Source organism: Homo sapiens, chromosome 15, assembly GCF_000001405.40.
Source record: "Homo sapiens chromosome 15, GRCh38.p14 Primary Assembly".
NCBI classification, from domain to species: Eukaryota; Metazoa; Chordata; class Mammalia; order Primates; family Hominidae; genus Homo; species Homo sapiens.
The window spans coordinates 73,427,560-73,448,497 of record NC_000015.10 but is presented as its reverse complement, the minus strand read 5'-3'; the positions used below and the strand labels follow the sequence as shown (position 1 = coordinate 73,448,497).

The following is a 20,938-nucleotide window of genomic DNA, read 5'->3' as shown; positions in this document are numbered from 1 at the left end:
CTGGGCTGCTGCCTTTTTTTCAGAGATGCCCTGCCCAGAGAGGAGGAATCTAGAGAGGCAGTGTGGCTGCAGCAGCCTTGCTGAGCTGTCTTGGGCTCCACCCAGTTCAAACTTCCTGGTGGCTTTGTTTACACTGTAAGGGTAAAACCACCTACTCAAGCCTCAGCAATGGCGGATGCCCTTCCCCCCACCAAGATACAGCATCCCAGGTCAACCTCAGACTGCTGTGCTAGCAGTGAGAATTGCAAGCCAGTGGATCTTAGGTTGCTGGGCTCTGTTGGGGTGGGACCCGCTGAGCCAGACCACTTGGCTCCCTGGCTTCAGCCCCCTTTTCAGGGGAGTGAACAGTTCTGTCTCACTGGCTTTCCAGTAGCCACTGGCGTGTGAAAAAAAAAAAACAAACAAACTCCTGCAGCTAGCTCAGTGTCTGCCCAAATGGCCACCCAGTTTTGTGCTTGAAACCCAGGGCCCTCGGTGGTGTAGGCACCAGAGGGAATCTCCTGGCCTGCTGATTGCAAAGACCATGGGAAAAGCACAGTATCTGTGCACCATTCCTCCCAGTACAGTCTCTCACGGCTTCCCTTGGCTGGGGGAGGGAGATTCCCCAACCCTTGTACTTCCCAGGTGAGGTGATGCCCCACCCTGCTTCGGCTCACCCCCCATGGCCTGCACCCACTGTCCAACCAGTCCCAATGAGATGAACCAGGTACCTCAGTTGGAAATGCAGAAATCACCCGCCTTCTGTGTTGATCTTGCTGGGAGCTGCAGATCGGAGCTGTTCCTATTCGGCTATCTTGTTGTATTTTCCTATTTATTTATTTATTTATTTATTTATTTATTTATTTATTTTGAGACAGAGTCTCACTCTGTTGCCCAGGCTGGAGTGCAGTGGCACAATCTTGGCTCACTGCAACCTCTGTCTCCTAGGCTCAAGGGATTCTCCTGCCTCAGCCTCCCAAGTAGCCTCGGGTTTCACCATGTTGGCCAGTCTGGTCTGAACTTCTGACCTCAAGTGATCCACCCATCTTGGCCTCCCAAAGTGCTGGGATTACAGGGATAAGCCACTGTGCCAGGCCTCTTATCAGTCTTCTTTGGGGCTCTGTCCCCTCTACCCAACTTACAAATGTTGGATTACGTTTAAGCTTGGTCCCGAATCTCACCTAATCCCATGACTATAAATATCACCTTTATGCTGATGACTCACACCTTTACATCTCTAGCCCAGATCTTCCTTCTGAGTCTAGACCAATATACCCAACCACCTATTCAGTATCTCCACTTGGATGCTTCACAATCTTATGAAATTCAATACATCCAAAACTGACATCTTGGATTTTTCCCTCACTGTTCCTCCTCCAGTGTTTCCCATTCTTCAACCATCTACTCAGTTGCTTCTGCTAGAAACCCAGAAGTCCTTTACTCTCACCACCCATATACAATCAATCACCAAGCCTTTTCATTTTGGTCTCCAAAATATATTCCCAATATCCCTATCTCTACTGCCATGCCCTGAGTCTAAGCCATCATCATCTCTTGCCTATAACACTGCAATAGCATTCTAAATGATCTTTCTGAATCCACTCATATTCCCCTCCAATTCCATCTTCACACCACAGCCAGAGTGATCTTTCAAAGATGAAAATGCCTCTGCTTAAAACTGTTCGGTGGCTTCCCACTGGATTTATAATAATGTTCACAAGGCACCTGCCTACATCTTCAGACAGGCTTATCTCAAGCTACCATTTCCCTTATTCTCTAAGCACCAGATTTGCTAGCCTTCTCACTATACATTACATGCTGAGGTTTTTTCAGGTATGTTGTGGCCTCTGTACATGTTGTGGGAATTTTTTTTTTTTTTGAGACAGAGTCTTGCTCTGTCACTCAGGTTGGAGTGCAGTGCCACGATCTCAGCTCACTGCAACCTCAGCCTCCCAGGTTCAAGTGATTCTCCCACCTCAGCCTCCTGAGTAGCTGGGACTGCAGGCAGGCACCACTACACCCGGCTAATTTTTGCATTTTTTGTAGAGACGGGGTTTTGCCATGTTGGCCAGGCTGGTCTCAAACTCCTGACCTCAGGTGATCCGCCTGCCTCAGCCTCCCAAAGTGCTGGGATTACAGGCATGAGCCACCACACCCAGCTACCTGGGACCTTTATTCTCTTTAATTCTTCTCCTATCTACTGCTGCCCAAAATACACAAACATGTATGCATGTGTGCACACATGTGACGTACATGTATGTGTATAATCCAAAATCCCAGGTTCCTCATCCAATAGTCAAACCAGACAAAAGGGAACTGAATGACTGGCAACCCATGGTGTTAAAGCATACCACTAGAACAAAATGATAATAAGAGCAAACCCCTAACTTAATATATACTAGGCACTATTTTAGGTGATTGACATGTATTAGCTTATGCAATGGTCAAAATAATCCTATGAAGTAGGTACAGGCACACTTCCCTTTACTGCACTTTGCTTTATTGCACTTCACAGATATTACATTTTTTACACATTGAAGGTTTGTGGCAACCCCACATCAATCAAGTCTCTCAGTGCCATTTTTCTAATAGCATGTGTTCACTTCATGTCTCTGTATCACATTTTGGTAATTTTCACAATATTTCAAGCTTTTTCATTATTATTATTATTATATATGATGGTGATCTGTGATCAGTGATCTCTGATGTTACTATTGTAATTGTTCTGGAGTGCCACAAACCATGCCCATAGAAGACAGTGAACTTAATAAATGGTATGTATATTCCAACTGCTCCATCCACCAGCCTTTGCTCTGTCTCTCTCCCTCTCCTCAGTCCTCACTATTCTGAGACACAACAATATTGAAATCCAGCCAACTAATAACCCTACAATGGCCTCAAAGTGTTAAGGTGAAAGGAAAAATCACATATCTCTCATTTTAAATGAAAAGCTAGAAATGATTAAGCTTAGTGAGGAAGGCATGTTGAAAGCCAAAATAGGTCAAAAGCTAGACCTCTTATGCCAGTTAGCCAGGTTGTAAATGCAAAGGAAAAGTTCTTAAAGGAAATTAAAAATGCTATTCCAGTGAACACAGGAATGATAAGTGGAATAGCCTTATTGCTGAAATGGAAAAAGTTGTAATGGTCTGCATAGAAGATCAAACCAGTCACAACATTCCCTTAAGCCAAAGTCTGATCTGATTTTTTAACGTATTCAAAACAGCCTTTTCTTAGAAGAAGAGGCCATCTAGGACGTTCATAGCTAAAGAGGAGAAGTCAATGCCTGGCTTCAAAGCTTCAAAGGGCAGGCTGACTCTTGCATTAGGGGCTAATCCCACTGGTGACTCTAAATTGAAGCCAATGCTCATTTACCATTCTGAAAGTCCTAGGGCCCTTAGGAACTGTACTAAATCTACTCTGCCTGTGCTCTATAAATAGAACAACAAAGCCTGGATGATAGCACATTTGTTTATAGCATGGTTTACTGAATATTTTAAGCCCACTGTTGAGACCAACTCCTCAGAAAAAAAGATTCTTGTCAAAATATTATTGTTCATTGACAAGGCACCTGGTCACCCAAGAGCTTGGTTAGAGATGTACAAAGAGATGAATGTTGTTTGCATGCCTGCTAACACAACATTCATTCTGCAGCCCATGATCAAGGAGTAATTGTCTGCTTTCAAGTCTTATTATTTAAGAAATATATTTTATAAGGCTATAGCTTCTGTAGATAGTGATTCCTCTGATGGATCTGGGCAGTTAATAGAAAACATCTGAAAAGGATTCACCATTCTAGATACCATTAAGAACATTTGTGATTCATGGACGGAGGTCAACATATCAACATTAACAGGAATTTGGAAGAAGTTGATTCCAACCCTCACGGATGACTTTTGAGGAGTTCAAGATTTCAATGGAGGAAGGGACTGCAGATGTGTTGAAAGAGCAAGAGAACTAGAATTGGAAGTGAAGCCTGAAGATGGGACTGAATTGCTATAATTTTACGATAAAACTTGAAGAGATGACGAGTTGCTTTTTATGGATGAGCAAAGAAAGTGGTTTCCTAAGATGGCATCTACTCCTGGTGAAGATGCCGTGAACATTGCTGAAATGACAGCAAAGTATTTAGAATATCACATAAACTTAGTTGATAAAGCAGCAGCAAAATGTGAGAGGATTAACTCCAATTTTGAAAGGAGTTCTACTGTGGGTAAAAATGCCATTAAACAGCATTGCATGCTACAGAGCAATCTTTCCTGAAAGTTAGAGGCAATCCATGTGACAAACTGCATTGTTGTCTTATTTTAAGAAATTGCCACAGCAACCCCAATCTTGGGAAACCACCACTCTGATCAGTCAGCAGCCACCAGCATGAAGCAAGACCCTCCAGCAGCAAAAAGACTGACCTGCTGAAGGCTCAGGTGAGTGTTAGCATTTTTTAGCAATAAAGTATTCTCGAATCAAGGTGGGTACGTTGTTCTTTTAGACATAATTGTTTTAGACAAGTTAATAGACTACAGTACAGTGCAAACACAGGTTTTATATGCACTGAGAAGCCAAAAAGGTCGTAACTTGCTTTATTGTGATGGTCTGGAACCGAATCCCAATATTTCTGAGGGCCTGTACTATTATATTATTATCTCTATTTTAAGACAAAGTAAATAAGGTACAGAGAGGTTAAGTAACTAAAGCAAGGTCCCAGAAATTCACTGGCAACGCGAGGATTCAAATTTAGTCCTGTGTGAATGCTTGGTTACGGGATGACTCAGTTGTCCCTTCTGTAATTAGTTATTTGGATAAATAGTATATCCTCCACTAAACTAAAAACATCAATAAGGGTGGGGAGCGTTTATATCTTGCTCACTGCTCCATCCCTAGCACCCTGAATAGAGTCTAGCACATACTTGACGCTCAATAAATACACATTGAATATATGAATGTTTACTACTCCCTTGCATAATTATTTTGAGACTGTAAAGGGTTCCAACCATGTCTCCTACTGCTATGTATGTATTTCCTATCTTAGTTGTCGGCCTGTCCATTCCCCAACAGGCCTGGCAGTCACTCGGTGTCCCCTCGGCATTGCTTTCGGGGCACTGGCCCAGTGTATTCGCGGAGCCTCCCCTCCTGAGGGCTGTGGGCACCTCAGGGATATTCCTGCCTTCGGGCCTCACCTTCCATGTGGGGCAGGGGGCTGTCCCAGCTTCCAGGCATGGCCCAGGTGGGTCTCTGGTGTTTGAGGGTATGCAGCGGGCGTACCGCTGCAGAGGCCACTCTGCCGCTTCTCCTCCGGTAAGCCCGAGGCTCAAGGGCACTTTTCCTGCCTCCGCCATGTCCTGCCTCACCACACGCACTGCCGGCGGGGACCTGCCAATCTGGCATCGAACCAATCAGTAAGCGGAGCGCCCCAGGGCCCACCCTCCCGTTCAGCAGAAGCCAATGGGCAGGCTCCGAAGATTCCCGCTTAGGGCATTTCCGGGCTTCGGTGTCTCTCTTGACCTTGGGCACCGAGATGGTTGCTTCTACGTTGAAGGGCGGTTGTGACCCTTATTAGTGGAAGTTGATGTCGCACTTGCACAGCATTCGGGCCCACACCTTCCCTCAGGCAGCCCATGTCAACTTCTGAAGCTCTGAGTCTGAGAAGTTTCCCAAACTGCCTGACTCCCTGTAGCGTACACCCTGGGACTAGGCTGGTAGTCGAGGCTGCCTGGACACAGGCTTTTCCCTTCCTCATAGCGGCCTTTCAGAAGACAATGTCCCCGCTTCACCTAACACCCACCACAACAAAGCCCCAGTGCCACACGCCATTCAGGAGACATGGTTGCTTCTTCATCATCCATCCTGCCGCCCGCTCGACATTCCCTGCCACCCGACAGTCAATTTTTCACCGAAAGAGGAGCAGATGGGTGGGGGCTGCCAGCAGCAAAAGATGTGCCTGCATTTAACAGCAGATGCAATGAAACGACATTTCTGGGTGATTTATAGGCGGCAAAGCACTTACACATCTGTTATTTCCTTTATCCTCCCAACAAACTTGCAGTGAATTAAAGAAGTAAAGCAGGGATTATTACCCCCATCTAATAGATGGAGGCAAAATAAGGTCCAGTGACCAGGCGCAGTGGCTCATGCCTGTAATCCCAGCACTTTGGGACGCCGAGGTGGGCGGGTCGCCTGAGCTCAGGAGTTCGAGACCACCCTGGGCAATATGGTGAACCCCATCGCTACTAAAATACAAAAAATTAGCCAGGCATGGTGGCAGGCTCCTGTAACCCCAGCTACTTGGGAGGCTGAGGCACAAGAATTGCTTGAGCCCCGGAGGCGGAGGTTGCAGTGAGCCGAGATTGTCGCACTGCACTCCAGCTGGGGCTACAGAGTAAGACTCTGTCTCATAAAATAAAATAAAATAAATAAAATAATCCAGAGAGTAGATGTGGTTTGTCCAAGGTTACACAGCCAGTGAACGGCAGAGCCAGAGTAGAGCTGTGGACTCCACAATCTCCACGTGTCCACCTCATTTGCAAAGAATTTAGATATTCATACAATCTATGTCAAGTTAGAAGCAAAGTATACAGAGGGTAGAGACTATGCTAACCAAATACATAAAATAGAATTAAAACGCAAACAATGTTTAAAGCTATGCATACCAAAGGATATTCAATTCATAGACAATGGTTGGAGAGGTGGTAATGTATTCACTCTACAAAGTATCAATTAAATATCTACAATGGGCAAACAGCTATGCTAGTCACCATAGGGGCTACAGAAACGGATAAGGCATGTATCTAACCTTCTGGGATCACAGGATCTAATAAGGAAAACAAGCAAGATGCAAATATACCCATGACACCTGACAGTTAATGCCACAGGAAAGGTACAAACCATGTACTCTCAGGGTTCAAATGAAGTAAAAATCTTCCCAATAGGGAGTGGCAGTGGTATTTGAGTGAGGACTTGAAGGGTGAGAAAAATTTCCCGAGGGAAGATGGAAGGAACTGTTGTTCCATACGAAGGAGAAGTTGAGGAGTAAAGTTGTGGAAATGAGGATAATGACATGACCAGCTAGAATGCGAAGTTGTTTTTTAAGGAAAATGAGGCTACAGAGGTGAGTTGGGGCAAAAGAGCATTGAACAGCAGCTAAGGAATGTGAATTTTACTTGGTAGGTGATGAGGAATATGAAAAATTTGCATGGGAGAATGACACTATCCTAGTAGTGGTCCAGGCAGGTTAATATCTCGGAAGCATATGGGATAAATTGGATAAAAGGCAAGCGGGGCCTGCTACTTATCTTTCCAGCAGTCCAGTAAAGCTTACTGAAGGGGTCAGGTTTCAGAAATTGCTTCTGAAGATCCATAAATGACACAGCAGTACTGCATTTAATATAGGAATAAATGGTTAAAAACTTGGTTTGAATCCCAGGTTTGTCAGTTGCCAGCTGCGTGAGCTTGTTGAAGTCAGTTAACCTCTCTGTAAAATAAGGTTATTAGACAACTACTTTACAGGGTCATGGAGAAGATAAAATAAGAACATATGTGGGAAAACACTTGGTAAATTACAAAGTGGTACATATGTTGGTGCTTTCTATTTCCAGGGTTAAAGTGACTTTCCGTGGACTCCCTACAGGCAGGGAGGATGGGAATGGGAGCCTGACTTTGGGTCTCAGAGGTACTCACCTTCCAGGTCCAGGGCTGCGGCTACTGTCAGACACCCTTCACAGGAGCAGATGGTGCTCACAGTTGGGACCCTGTCAGTGCCCAAGGACACCCAGGGCCCTGCTGGGTTCCCACCTGCAAGCTCCCTTCCTAGACAGTGCACCTGTGCTCGAGCTTCTGGGGCCACCAGCATCTGCCAAGAACAGATCATGTCTGCAAAGGGAGATAGGATAAAGCCACAGCTCAATGCACAGAGGTTCTTACAAACTTATAATATTAACAAATATGACTTGAGCACTCAAGTGGTCCCAGGTGCTATGATAGGTGCTGAGCATATAGTAGAGAGCAAAACAAATGGGGCTTCTGCTCTCTTGAAGCTCACAGTCTAGTAGAGGGCAGAACACTGAGCAAATCACCCACTATTGTTAATGGCTAATGTGTTTTCTTTTTAAAAGATAAGTCTGTAATCTTTATTAAGGTATAATTTTAGATAATAAAAAGCACAGATCTCACATATCCAATTAGGCGAGTTTTGGCACCTATATATACTCATGTAACCACCATCCAAAACAAAATATAGAACACTTTCAAAACCACCAGGTTCCCTTGTGAGTGCCTCCTTTCCATTACTCAAATCAGACCACCCTGCAAGGACAACCACTGGTCGATTTATCACCTTAGCTTTCCTGTTCGTGGACTTTATATACATGAAATAAAACAGAATATATTCTTTTATATATGCTTATTTCATTCAGTGTAATTTTGTTTTTTTAGCTCCATCCATGTTGTTGCATGTACCAATAATTCATTCCTTTTTAGTGCTAAATAGCATTCTATTATATGACTACTTCACAGCTTGCTTTTTTTCACCTGTTGGTGGACATTTGGGATACTTTCTAGTTTTTTGTTTGTTTGTTTTTGCTGTTATGAACATTTTTGTACAAGCTTTTTATTTTTATTTTTTGTAGATGTGTGTTGTCATTTATCTTCAATAATAAATACCTAGAGGGCCAGGTGCAGTAGCTCACGTCTGTAATTCCAGCGCTTTGGAAGGCCAAGGCGGGTGGATCACCTGAGGTCAGGAGTTCAAGACCAGCCTGGCCAACATGGTGAAACCCTCTCTCTACTAAAAATACAAAAATTAGCTGGGCGTGGTGGTGGGCACCTGTAATCCCAGTTACTCCGGAGGCTGAGGCAGGAGAATCACTTGAACCTGGGAGGCGGAGGTTGCGGTGAGCCAAGATCGCACCACTGCACTCCAGCCTGGGTGACAGAGCGAGACTCCATCTCAAAAAAACAGTAATAAATAAATAAATACCTAGAAATATAATTTCTGGGTCTTAGAGAGATGTATGTTTAACTTTGTAAAAAACTGCCAAAGAGTTCTCCATAGTGATTGTGCTACTTTGCACTCCCATCAGCAAAATATAAGAGTTCCAGTTGCTGACATGACCACATCCTTGCTGACATTCGCCTTACCAAGTATTTAGTTTGAGCCATTCTGGTTGATGTCTAGTGGTTTCTCATTGGGATTTTAATTTACATTTCCCTGATGATGAATGATATTGGCTTATTGGCCATTTGTATACATTATGTGTGAAGTGTCTGTTCAAATCGTTGAACGTTGTTGATTTGTAGGAGTTCTTTATATATTCTGGGCACCAGTCCTTTGTCAGATATATGTAATGAAAATATTTTCCCATTCCATTACTTGCCTTTTCATTTTCTTAACAATGTTTTTGTAAAGAGCAGATGTATTTAATTTTGATTAAGTACTTTTTAATTAATTTTTCGGGTGTTTTTAATAGTGTTTTCTCTGTCCTGCACAAGAAAACTTTGCTTACCCTAAGGTTGCACACATATCCTCCCACATTTTCTTCCAGAAACTTTATGGTTCTAACTTTTACAACTAGGTATATGATCCTTCTTGCATTATATTGTTTGTGTGAAGTGAAGTAGGGATTAAGGATCATTCTTTTCCATGTGGATGTACTGTTATGTTAAATGGGGGCAGCCCTAAACCAATGACTAATGGAAACTGTCATATAAATACCCAAGTTCCCTTACTCCTCAGTTGGGACAGCTCTGAGATGTGTGTAATACCCTGTTCCCTAAGTTTTCCAGTGGAATTAAGTTCCACTTACCCACGATGCTAACTTGTTTAGTAATGATTCATTTTGGGCTAACTTCCCTACCCTGTCTCCCTCTGCTATCAGTGTTTCCTGGGATCGCCTCTCAAATAAATTGCTTGCACTCGAGGGTCTGCTTATCCCAGGGTCTGCTTCTGTGGAAACTCAAACCAAGACAGTAACAAACAAGACAGACCGTCCCTACCCTCATGTATTTAGCTTTAATATAGTTGCATATAGGAAGATGCTACAACCAGCATTCAGAGGAGGGAGAAGTCATTCTCAAATGAAAGTAGACCCTCCAATGCCTCGCTGACTAGAAGCAGCAGAATGACAGCATTTGAAGGCAGAACTAATAAATGACAGGTTACTATGAGTTAAAACATCCCCTTCTTTTTTTTTTTCTGTAGAGATGGGGTCCCGCTTTGTTGCCCAAGTTGGTCTCAAACTCCTGGCTTCAAGCAATTCTCCTGCCTCAGCCTCTGGGGTTACTCGCATGAGCCACTGGATCCCTACATCCCCCTCTTAGAAGACTATTACCAGTTAGAAAAACCTAGCCCCTGAAGTTTTAAAAAAAGAGAAAAAGTCATTTATTTCACTGAACAGTGTTTTCATTCCAAATTCTTTTACTGTGTAACTCTATTTTGCAGGTGGCATAAATAGCACAGAGAGATGCTGTGTGAGTAAGTCAGCATCACTGTTGGAGGCAGGCTGAAGGACTGGTTTTGGAACCCTAGCATGTGTCTTTCAGAGCAGACCAGGGACCCCATACATCCGTTTTGCCCAGGATATTGAGTCAGCAAAGGAAATGATGGCTTCAGTCTCCTTGGGTCCCCTAGATGACAAGACGACAGGAAAAGCTGCACCTCTGCTCTGCCTGCTGTGTCCCTCAGCAACAGCTCTGGGGACACACAAAGTGATTGAGAACTGCAGAACAATGTTGATGGCTGTGAGATTTCCCAGAAAAGCCCTGTTTGCATCAGTCAAGCCAGATGAACTGTCTACATTATGACAGACCTGTGTATACTGTGTGAGAAGGGGATGTTCCCATGGTACTTTACACTCACTGCTAAAAAGCAATTATTTTCAAGTTGCTACTCTGTATCTTCCACAAGCAAAAATCAACTCCTCCATCGCAGGTCATTGAAAGTATTTCAATGTGACCAGGCGCAGACAATCCTAACTTGTCTACAGGCTGCTGGTCATTGGCATAACATGGAGAGAGATTAACACTGATTTTCCCGTGTGTTAAAAGCACAGAGAATAATAAATTACTACAAAACGTTTGCCAGGTGGTAGATTTGGGAGCATATTTTACAAAGCTGGATTAGCGTCAGAAATAAGAATTTAAAGCAAACCCTAAAGGAAGACTATGAACTCAGACCTTAAAGAAAGGGACCATACTTTATGTTGAAATCCAGAATTGCTGGCACATAATAGGTTCTTAATTTTTTTTTAATGAATGGACTGCAAATTTTAATATGGAAGAAAGGGATAATTTAAAAATCACTGTGAGTGTATAAAGGGTTAACATGGGGGGAAATGGTTAATAACCCTTTCCCTTCCTTACCTCCACACTGTTGGAACAAGAAGAAATCACCTTCAACCACGTCATGAAGAATTGGCACTAACATTCAAGAATAAATTTTTGTATCTCAAGATCTTAATCTAATAGGTGATATATTTGGGGACTTTCCAACCCTGACACCTACATATACATAGTCAAATACAGAAGCATAGATCCCTAGAAATCGCTTCCAATTTGATGCATCGCTTATTCCATCATTTGTTCCCTGACCCTGGAGAAGTCATTTAGCTCACCTCTATAGAGTGAGGCTGTGAGACTTGCAATTTACACCTCAGAGGGCAGACATCATAAAGAAAATGCTTTGTGCTGGGAGTGACTCAGCAACAGCATTTTTGTGCTTAGTTGTTGGGAATATTTTGAATAATTCAGCCATTGCAACTGCACCTCCAGCAGATGTTAGGTTAGGACTGGCTGAGGCTGGGAGGTCAAAGTTTTAGGGGGACCCTGGGAATGGTAAGGGCTGCTTGCACTGCTTCCTCACATCAAATGCTTTAACTCTGAGGGCATCACAGTGTCTCTGAATGAAAATCTTTCCCTGGGAAATGATTCTGACAATAAACTGAGGGACCCAGAAAAAGAATGACTTTTTTTGAAGTGGTCATGTCAGTTCAACTAATTTGTTCATTCATTTATTCAGCAGTGTTACTTGGATTTACTCTGTGCCAGGCACTAAGCAAAGTAACAGAGATACAAATCTGAATAGGAAAAAACGCTTCTCTTGAAAATGTTTATAGTCTGGTAGAGGGACAGACCCAAAGACAAGTAATTCACAATATATTGTGAAAGATGTTCAATAAAGACAGGACCTGGCCTTGTGTTGGTGCGAAGGAGTGATACCTTCAAATGAGAGCAGTTAGAAGGCATGTGTTGTGCAACCATCACCACTCTTTAGTTCCAGAACATTCTCATCACCCCAAAAGGAAACCCCATACCCATTAGTTATCAGCTCCACGCTCCCCTCCCCCAAGCCCCTGGAAAGCACCAATCCACTCTTTGTCTCTATGAATTTGTCTATTCTGTATATTTCATATAAATGAAATTATACAATATATGGCCTTTTATGTTTGGCTTCTTTTACTTGGCGTAATGTTTTCAAGATTCGTCCATGTTATAGCATGTATGAATACTTCATTCTTTTTAATGGATGACTAATATTCCATTGTATAGATATACCCATGTTGTTTATCCACTCATCAGTTGACAGATATTTGAATTGTTTCCACCTGAGAGGAAACTCTTGAATACTTTATGTATTTCAAGATAAAAATGGCTTGTTAATTCTCTGATAAAACAAACAATACAGACTCCCAGGCAGCATAGTACAGTTAAATTCACTCCTCGACAACTTCACCCATGTCCAGACACAGTAATGACAGGTCAAATATAAGAAGAGATGACTGAAAATGGATAGCTGGGATCAAAGAGAAGACAAGCATCTCTGGGACCATAAATCTCCAGCAGTGAGCAAGGATAAAGCCAGGGCATGCTGGGCTCCAGGTCTGGACCCAGACAGCGGTAGCAGGGAATCAGGACCAAACATCTCCACACAAGGCACAGAATAGAGTCAGGCTCCCTGCATGAAGCCAGGAGCTGGAGTGGGATGCTACTCCATTGAAAGGGGCTCAAAAAGACTGCCACTCTGCTGCCCGGTGTAACTGTTCCCAGCAACATGGGGCCCAAAGGAGGCAGGTGGACAGACACAGCCTCATGAGCAGGACCTGAGCCAAGGCTCGTGCAGACTCTGGAACTGGGTATCTCCAATGTTGCAGCACATCAACATCCCTGTAAGACCTAGTTTTGGACTGGAGCCTGGGGGACAAAGGGAAGGCAGTAGCACACCACTCAATTACTAGAAAGCAAGAGAAACATGAAGAAAAGCAAGAAGCTTCTTGCTTAAAATGACCCTGAAAATCAAAAGTCTAAAACACATCAGGGAATACAATTCTAGGAAAGACAATCAACAAAATCAACACTAGGAATACAAACTCACTTCTGACAAAACTAATTGTATAGAACAGACTGACAAAAATGCTTTAGAATGATCAATACTATTTATTACAACCTGTGACGTGGATGAATAACATAATATTGAACAAAAGAAGCTAGACACAAAAAAGTACATAACACATGCTTACATGAGGTAATGTGAAAAAGCAGGCAAACCAATCTATGGTGTCAGAAGCCAGAAAAATGGTTACCCTTGGAAAAAGGCCAAAGAGAATGCTGGAAACGCTTTATTTCTTGACTCAGATGCTTGTTACATGGGTGCTTTCACTTTATGAAAAGTCATTGTGTGTCCATACAATCCATCCTCATTTATTCACTGATTCTGTATTTGTTAATTTACCTACTCACTCAAATTTATTTGCAACCCCAAAATCAATACTTGCTGAGCTTTGTGGTCGTTTGCAGATATACGCATTGAGGGGAAAAATTTGAGTCACTGGATGCATATGTTCCAAGCTGAAGTCGGACAAAGCAACTCTCTGCTTACTTGTTTCAGCTCTCATGTTAGAAGCAAGTGTCCTCTTCTTTTTTTTCTTTTCTTTTCTTTTCTTTTCTTTTTTTTTTTTTTTTTGAGACAGAGTCTCCGTCACCCAGGCTGGAGTGCAGTGGCGCGATCTCGGCTCACTGCAAGCTCCGCCTCCCGGGTTCACGCCGTTCTCTTGCCTCAGCCTCCCGAGTAGCTGGGACCACAGGCGCCCGCCACCACGCCCGGGCTTTTTTTTTTTTTTTTTTTTTTTTTTTTTTGGACTTTTAGTAGAGACGGGGTTTCCCCGTGTTAGCCAGGATGATCTCGATCTCCTGACCTTGTGATCCGCCTGCCTCGGCCTCCCAAAGTGCTGGGATTACAGGCGTGAGCCACCGCGCCTGGCCTCAAGTGTCCTTTTCACAGGCTACTTAGTGCACGTTTTTCTGCATTTTTGTGCTTTCTGATGGTGATTTTGCTGTTTAAAATGGCCTGGAAGCATACAGCTGAAGTGTTACCTAGTGTTATCATAAGCCTGTGGTATGCCTTATAGAGAAAATACATGTGTTAGTAAGCTTCATTCAGGCATGAGTTGCAGTGCTGTTGGCAGTAAGTTCAATGTTAATGAATCAACCATACATATTAAATAAGGTGTCTTTCAATAGAAACACACATAAAACAAGATTACACATTGATCGGCTGACGAAAATGTTGTGACCAGAGGCTCACGGGAGCCTAACTCTGTATTTCCCCTGGGAGCAATGGTTCAGTATTTATTAATTCAGTGTTCATGGTGATTTTATGGAACATGATTTTCACAAATAATGAGAATCAATTGTATATAATTTTTGTAGGTTTCTTTATGTATATTACACTTCAATTAAAAAGTTGCCCATTTAAAAATTTAAACAATGAATTTTCAGTGTAATAACTGAGAGTTGATACTTCTAGACACTCACTAAAATAACTATTAGAGGATGTATTTAATGATAGCACAGAAATTGATTTTAAATGTAGAGAAAATTATTGACTATCAAAAAAACTATTGACTATTTTTAAAACTCTAAAGAGTAAAAAGATGGAGGGAGAGAGGTATTCAACAAGTAGTTAAATTGTGACAATGTCCAAAGTTAGGATTGAAATATTTAATAACAGTAGTTTTGTTAGAAAATGAGGAGTTAAGTGTGCATATGTCAAAAAATGAAAGAAACCACTAAAAATATAGAACAATCTATAGCTTCCAAATGAGTAAACTAAAAAAGAGTGTTGGTATAAAGAAAAGTCTATCAACAAAGAGAAGGAATAAAGAAAGAATAATAAGCAGAAATCATGCATAAGGTGGTCCTAAAACTTCAAATATATATATATTTACAAAAATGTAAATAAACTCTACTCACAAATTAAAAACATAAATCATCAGATTGGACTTTTAAATCTAGCTGTATGCTAGAATCAGTTATGTTATTCAAAATCATAGCTAAAAAGTGATCAACTAGAAAAATATCAGACTATAAAAAAAATCCTTATTATCAGACAAAAACAGCATGCACGTCCCAGAAAAGTAATCACAGATTATAAAGTGAAACATTAATATAACAGAACATCAAAAAAGTATTTAAAACCAAGGAATAACTAAGAAGACCAAATGTACCGTCATATTAATAAATGTAGATGACTAGAAAAAAAGACTATGATCAAAAAGCAAGGTGAAGGAGAGATTTCAACAAGTTTCTAAGGAGGAAAAAACTACAGAAGGAAGGGTAACTGTTAGTAGGGCAGGGGAAGTTGCAGCCTGGAGCATACTAGAAGGAGAATGTAAAATAGAAGAAAGCCATCATGTCTGGCAGAGATGGCATGTGTCCCCAGAGGGTACACGTGACTGAGACGTGAGGCTGCAAATGGATGGACTAATTGAAAGTCTATAAGTGGAGCCAGGCACAGTGGCTCACGCCTGTAATCCCATCACTTTGGGAGGCCAAGGCGGGCAGATCACTAGGTCAGGAGTTCAAGACCAGCCTGGCCAACATGGTGAAACCCCGTCTCTACTAAAAATACAAAAATTAGCTGGGCATGGTGGCAGGCACCTATAATCCCAGCTACTCAGGAGGCTGAGGCAGGAGAATCGCTTGAACCCGGGAGGCCGAGGCTGCAGTGAGCCGAGATCGCGCCTCTGCACTCCAGCCTGGGTGACAGAGCGAGACTCGGTCTCAAAAAAAAAAAAAGAAAGAAAGAAAGTCTATAAGTGGAACACATTCTCAAAACTTGAGTGTAAAACACCTACCCACAGGACATCTCCCCCCAGGCAGAGGGTTCTTCCATAGAGAAATGGAATAACTTCCATTTATCTGGCATTTGGGGGCCACTCAGAATAGAAGGAAACTTCTTATTTCCTAACTTACCTAAAGCAAATTTCCCCAATTCTAAAGCCCAATCAGAATATTATAGTTCCAATCAGCTTTTTAGTTACCTCACTCTTAAATAAAAACCAGCAATTAATATTATCAGACTTCTGAGAAAAATCTCCAACATATAAAAGAGAGTAGAAGAAAGGATAAATAACCAGAGAGAACAGAGATGACACAGAGAGAAGAAGAAGATAATTAAAATCCCCAGAGAGACATGAGAAGCTATTATATCTATAAAACAAGAACAGGTCGCTACAGAAAAGACAAATAATTAGAGAAAAAAGAGTGCTCTAAAAATTTTAAAATATGCTGGACAAATATAAAAGAAAGCACAGGAGTTGAAAAATAAAGTTGAGGAGCTCTCCTAGAAAGTAGAACAAAAGGTCGGCCAGGTGCAGTGGTTAACGCCTGTAATCCCAGCACCTTGGCAGGCCGAGGCAGGCCGATCACCTGAGGTCAGGAGTTCGAGACCAGCCTGGCTAACTGGCGAAACCCTGTCTCTACTAAAAATATGAAAATTATCTGGGCATGGTAGTGGGCACCTGTAATCCCAGCTACTCAGGAGGCTGAGGCAGGAGAATCGCTTGTGAACCTGGGAGGCGGAGGTTGCAGTGAGCCGAGATTGCGCCATTGCACTCCAGACTGGGTGACAAGAGCGAAACTCCATCTAAAAAAGAAAGAGAGAGAGAGAGAGACAGGGAGAGAGAGAGAAAGAAAAGAAAGAAAGAGAGAAGAAAGAAAGGAAGGAAGGAAGGAAGGAAGGAAGGAAGGAAGGAAGGAAGGAAGGAAGAAAGGAAAGAGGAAAGGAGGAAAGGAGGAAAGGACGGAGGGAGGGAGGGAGGGGAAAAAAAGGCCAAAGAGACAGAGCCCATGAAAGAAAACATAACAATCTGGCAACTCCAGTGGGGTCCTACTCAGCCATTCTGACCTACATGCAACCTGGAAACGTGAAGGAGTTAACATCCCATAGGGCAATCCTTGATGACTGGAAGCTGGGAGCCTATGGATAAATGAATTAATCTTCTATCCTTGGGGGAAATAATCACAGACAATTGGTGCTCTAGCCAGGTTTCTTCTTTTCTCTGAGAGCTGGCATCATCATCCTTCTGCTGTTACCAGACAGTCCAATTTGTATTCTCTAAATTCTTAGGGGATGCAGCCTGATTGACCAGTTACCAATGCTTCCTAATTGGGTAAAGCCCTTGCATCTGGATACGTCATAGGACACTGTCTGCCTGTGAGGAGGTCCAATCAGCAGCCACCATCCTTCAAAGGATGGCTTTGCTTCTCTTCCTTGAGCAGGGCATTGTGGGTGAGACAGTTGCAGGTGAAAGGGGTGTAGTGACCACGTTGGTACCGTAACATCCTGCAGCCTCCACCTAGAATTGTCTCCTTCCTACTTCTCTGCCTGGCAAACTTTATTTACCTGTCAAATTTCAACTCAAGGACCACTTCCTCTGTCTCTCTTTCCTGACTCTCCCAGGCAGAATTAGGTGCCCTGTTTTCACATCCAGGACCTGGGTACAACCTTCCATTAGCAGATCTGTCTTACTAATGTCTGTATTTCTGTATGTCTTTTCACAAGAATTCCTTAAGTATTGCTAGCACCTGTAGTAGGTGCTGAACAAAAATTGTTAGATAAATAAAAGAAATCTAGATATATATGCAAAAGAAGGTCAATTTCAGCCCATATTTGTTTACTTTGATGAAATGGGCCTTTTCTTCAGAACTAAGACAAGCTCAAACTGAAGAGGAGAAATAGAAAATTGGGAAAATAGATCCTGTTTGTGTGACATTTTTAGACCCTTCCCACCACCTACAGGCACAGTTGCCTCTCACATGTCTGCTTTCTCTACTCCCTCTGATTGGAATGTCCTTTGAAGTCATCTCATACCTACCTCCTTGTCTACCTGGTCAACCATTGTTCACCGCTGAATAGTTCCTCACATGTTAGCTCCAGGAACATCTCCTTGACCACCTCCTCCTCCCCAGTGTAGATAACTAATTCCTCCTGCTCGGTATTATGTTTAAATGGTGTATGGTAGGCATTTCATATATTTATCACCTATAATGAAAATTTATTTTCTTACATAGTTGTCTTTTTGCCTAAAAGAGAAATTGTTGAGAGCAAGGGGAGGGACTTATTTATCTCTACAGCTCCCTACACCCAGGATAGTCCTTGGAATGGAGTAGATGCTCAATACATGCTTGCTGAGTGAACGAATATAAAGTGAGTAACTATTCCAAAATAGCAGAAAATCCCCAAACTTTTTAGCTTAGGCTTTGAAATGTAATTTTCTTCCTGCAGGCCTCCTTTTCTCATTGTGTTTGGTTCAGACTGAAGCTACTTATTTTCCCACTTCATAGCTTTTGCAATTTCTCTGAGCATATTCCAGCTGACTAATGGAAGTGAGGGAATCAAAAAATGTTCAATAATATGACACCTCTAGATAATTAAGAACCAATGTAAACCTTTTCAAAGTGGTTTTTATGTGATTGCCCAAACAAGGTCACAGTACTCACATTGGATAAAATGTGAAATTGAAATTTCTTTACCATCCCTAGTTTCTCAGTGCTTTCGCCTTCTTTTCTACCTTTCTGCCATTTCTAGGTCTGTCAGATATACATTATGCAAAATGCCAAGATGTCTCTGCAAGAAACATTTTTTAATGCAAAGTAAAACTTCTCAATGCCTGTTAGCTCAAAAAGAGTTATTCTTTATACCATGTATAAAAATAAATTCCAGATGTATTAAAGCCCTAAACCAAAATGTAAAATTATGAAAGGAAAGAAGTAAATATTATCATAAAGTAACATAAAAAGAAGATTTTTTAAAACAAGACATAAAAAATAACAAACAATAAAGGGAAAAATATATTTGATTACATTAAAAGTAAAAACTAAGTATCATAGGCAAAATTTGAAGACAAGTGAAACATTCAGAGAAAATATTCACAACCTAGTTAACAGATAAAGGATTTGTATCTAGAATGTATGAAGAAGTTCCATAAATCAATAACAAAAAGACAAAGAAACCCAATAGAAAATGGGCAAAAGATGTGAATAAGCAAAATACATAAAAGGAAAACAAAATGAGCAATGAACTTAAGAAGAGATGCTCAACTTCGTTAGCGGTCAAGGAGATACATATTAAAAACAATAATGAGGCTGTATGTTACTGGCAAAAATTAAAACCAGACAACATTAATATTGAAGAGAATGTGGGAAAATGGGAATTTTCAGCAGTGTGGACAACAATGTAAATTAGTTCCACCATATGGGAAAGTAACTTGGCAATTTCTAATAAAATCGAAAATGCACACATCATGTAACTCAGCAGTTCTACTTTTAGATTTATACCTCAGAGAATAACTCACACATGGTCACAAGGAAACATAAAAACATAAAGCAGGATTTTTTTGTAATAGTGAAAAATTTGGGAACCTTTTTTTGTCTTGGCTTAGATTCCCTACAAAAGCAGAGGTCAAGACAGGATCTTGTGTGCAAATAGTTTATTTGGGGAAGTGGTCTGAGGAAATAGAGGTGGGGGGACTAAAGAGTGAAAGAGAGGGCCGGGCGCAGTGGCTTATGCCTGTAATCCCTCAACTTTGGGAGGCTGAGGCGGGTGGATCACTTGAGGTCAGGAGTTCGAGACCAGCCTGGTCAACGTAGTGAAACCCTGTCTTACTAAATATACAAAAATTAGCTGGGTATTGTGGCATAAGCCTGTAGTCCCAGCTACTTGGGAGGCTAAGGCAGGAGAATTGCTTGAACCCAGGAGGCAGGGATTGCAGTGAGCTGAGATCGCACCACTGCACTCCAGCCTGGGCGACAGAGCCAGACTCGATCTGAAAAAAAAAAAAAAAAAATTGAAATGAAAGAGAGAAAGAGGAAAGCTAATCCAAGGATGTGTATTTAACTGGTCACATTGTAGGCAACTCTAGTGGGCCTCAATCCCACCACAGATTCCTTTGGGAACCACAGGAACTGTTCTAAGTGTTTCACAAATATGAATGAATCTAATCTTCAAAAGAACTCCATTAAGTGCAGTTAGTCCCACTTTATCTACAAGAAACTCAGGCACAGAGAAGTAAAGCAATGTGCCCAAGTTGCACAGTTAGTAAGTGGCAAAGAATTTGAATGCAGGTAGGGAATTCTAGAGCCCTCAAACATGACCACCAAGCCAGAGAAGTTGCTGTAGTAGTTGGCTGGAGGACAGATCATAAAAGACCTTGTATGCCTTGCTGAGGAGTCTGCATAATCCAAAAGAGCATTTCTGCATTTATCTGCTTTACGTATTGCACTTGTGTTTGAAGACTTCATTTAGATACAAGGTTCTGCTTCTAAAATTGCTATAGGCAATGGCAACGACTGAGGAATTTTGAGCTAGAGGGAGATGTGGTCTGATTTGCCTTACAGACAGATAATGCTGGTGGTCAGTGGTGTGGAGAATGAATTGGTAGTACCTGTGATCAGATATAGGGTCAGTGCAGTGGTCCAGATGAGAGATGAAGAAGTTTGATATAGACCAATGTAGCAGTGATGGAGAGCAGAAATGGGTGTGAGATATATTTACGAGGGGGAATCAACAGGACTGAAGAGACTGATTGAATGTGGGAGCTGATTGAGAAGAAAGGGTCCCAGATGACTTAGGGCCTTGCATGCCTGTGCATACACAAGAGCACATCTCATGCACGTGTGCAGTGATAGTGTGGCA

General features: G+C 42.0%; 2 protein-coding genes across 3 annotated transcripts in view; both read right to left on the bottom strand.

Moving 5' to 3' along the window:
* The window catches only part of REC114 (REC114 meiotic recombination protein), a 116,850-nt gene extending 111,516 nt beyond the window's left edge, over window positions 1-5,334 (bottom strand). For both annotated transcript variants that reach the window (NM_001042367.2, NM_001348772.2), the window contains exon 1: window positions 5,154-5,334. In NM_001042367.2, coding sequence (NP_001035826.1) covers window positions 5,154-5,312 — 159 coding nt within the window. In that variant the 5' untranslated portion in view covers window positions 5,313-5,334. The remainder of the gene's footprint in view (window positions 1-5,153) is intronic.
* Window positions 5,335-7,506: 2,172 nt separating this feature from the next.
* Window positions 7,507-20,938, bottom strand: part of LOC124903571 (serine-aspartate repeat-containing protein I-like) — a 64,902-nt gene continuing 51,470 nt past the window's right edge. The window contains exon 3 of the mRNA XM_047433430.1: window positions 7,507-7,842. Coding sequence (XP_047289386.1) covers window positions 7,837-7,842 — 6 coding nt within the window. The 3' untranslated portion in view covers window positions 7,507-7,836. The remainder of the gene's footprint in view (window positions 7,843-20,938) is intronic.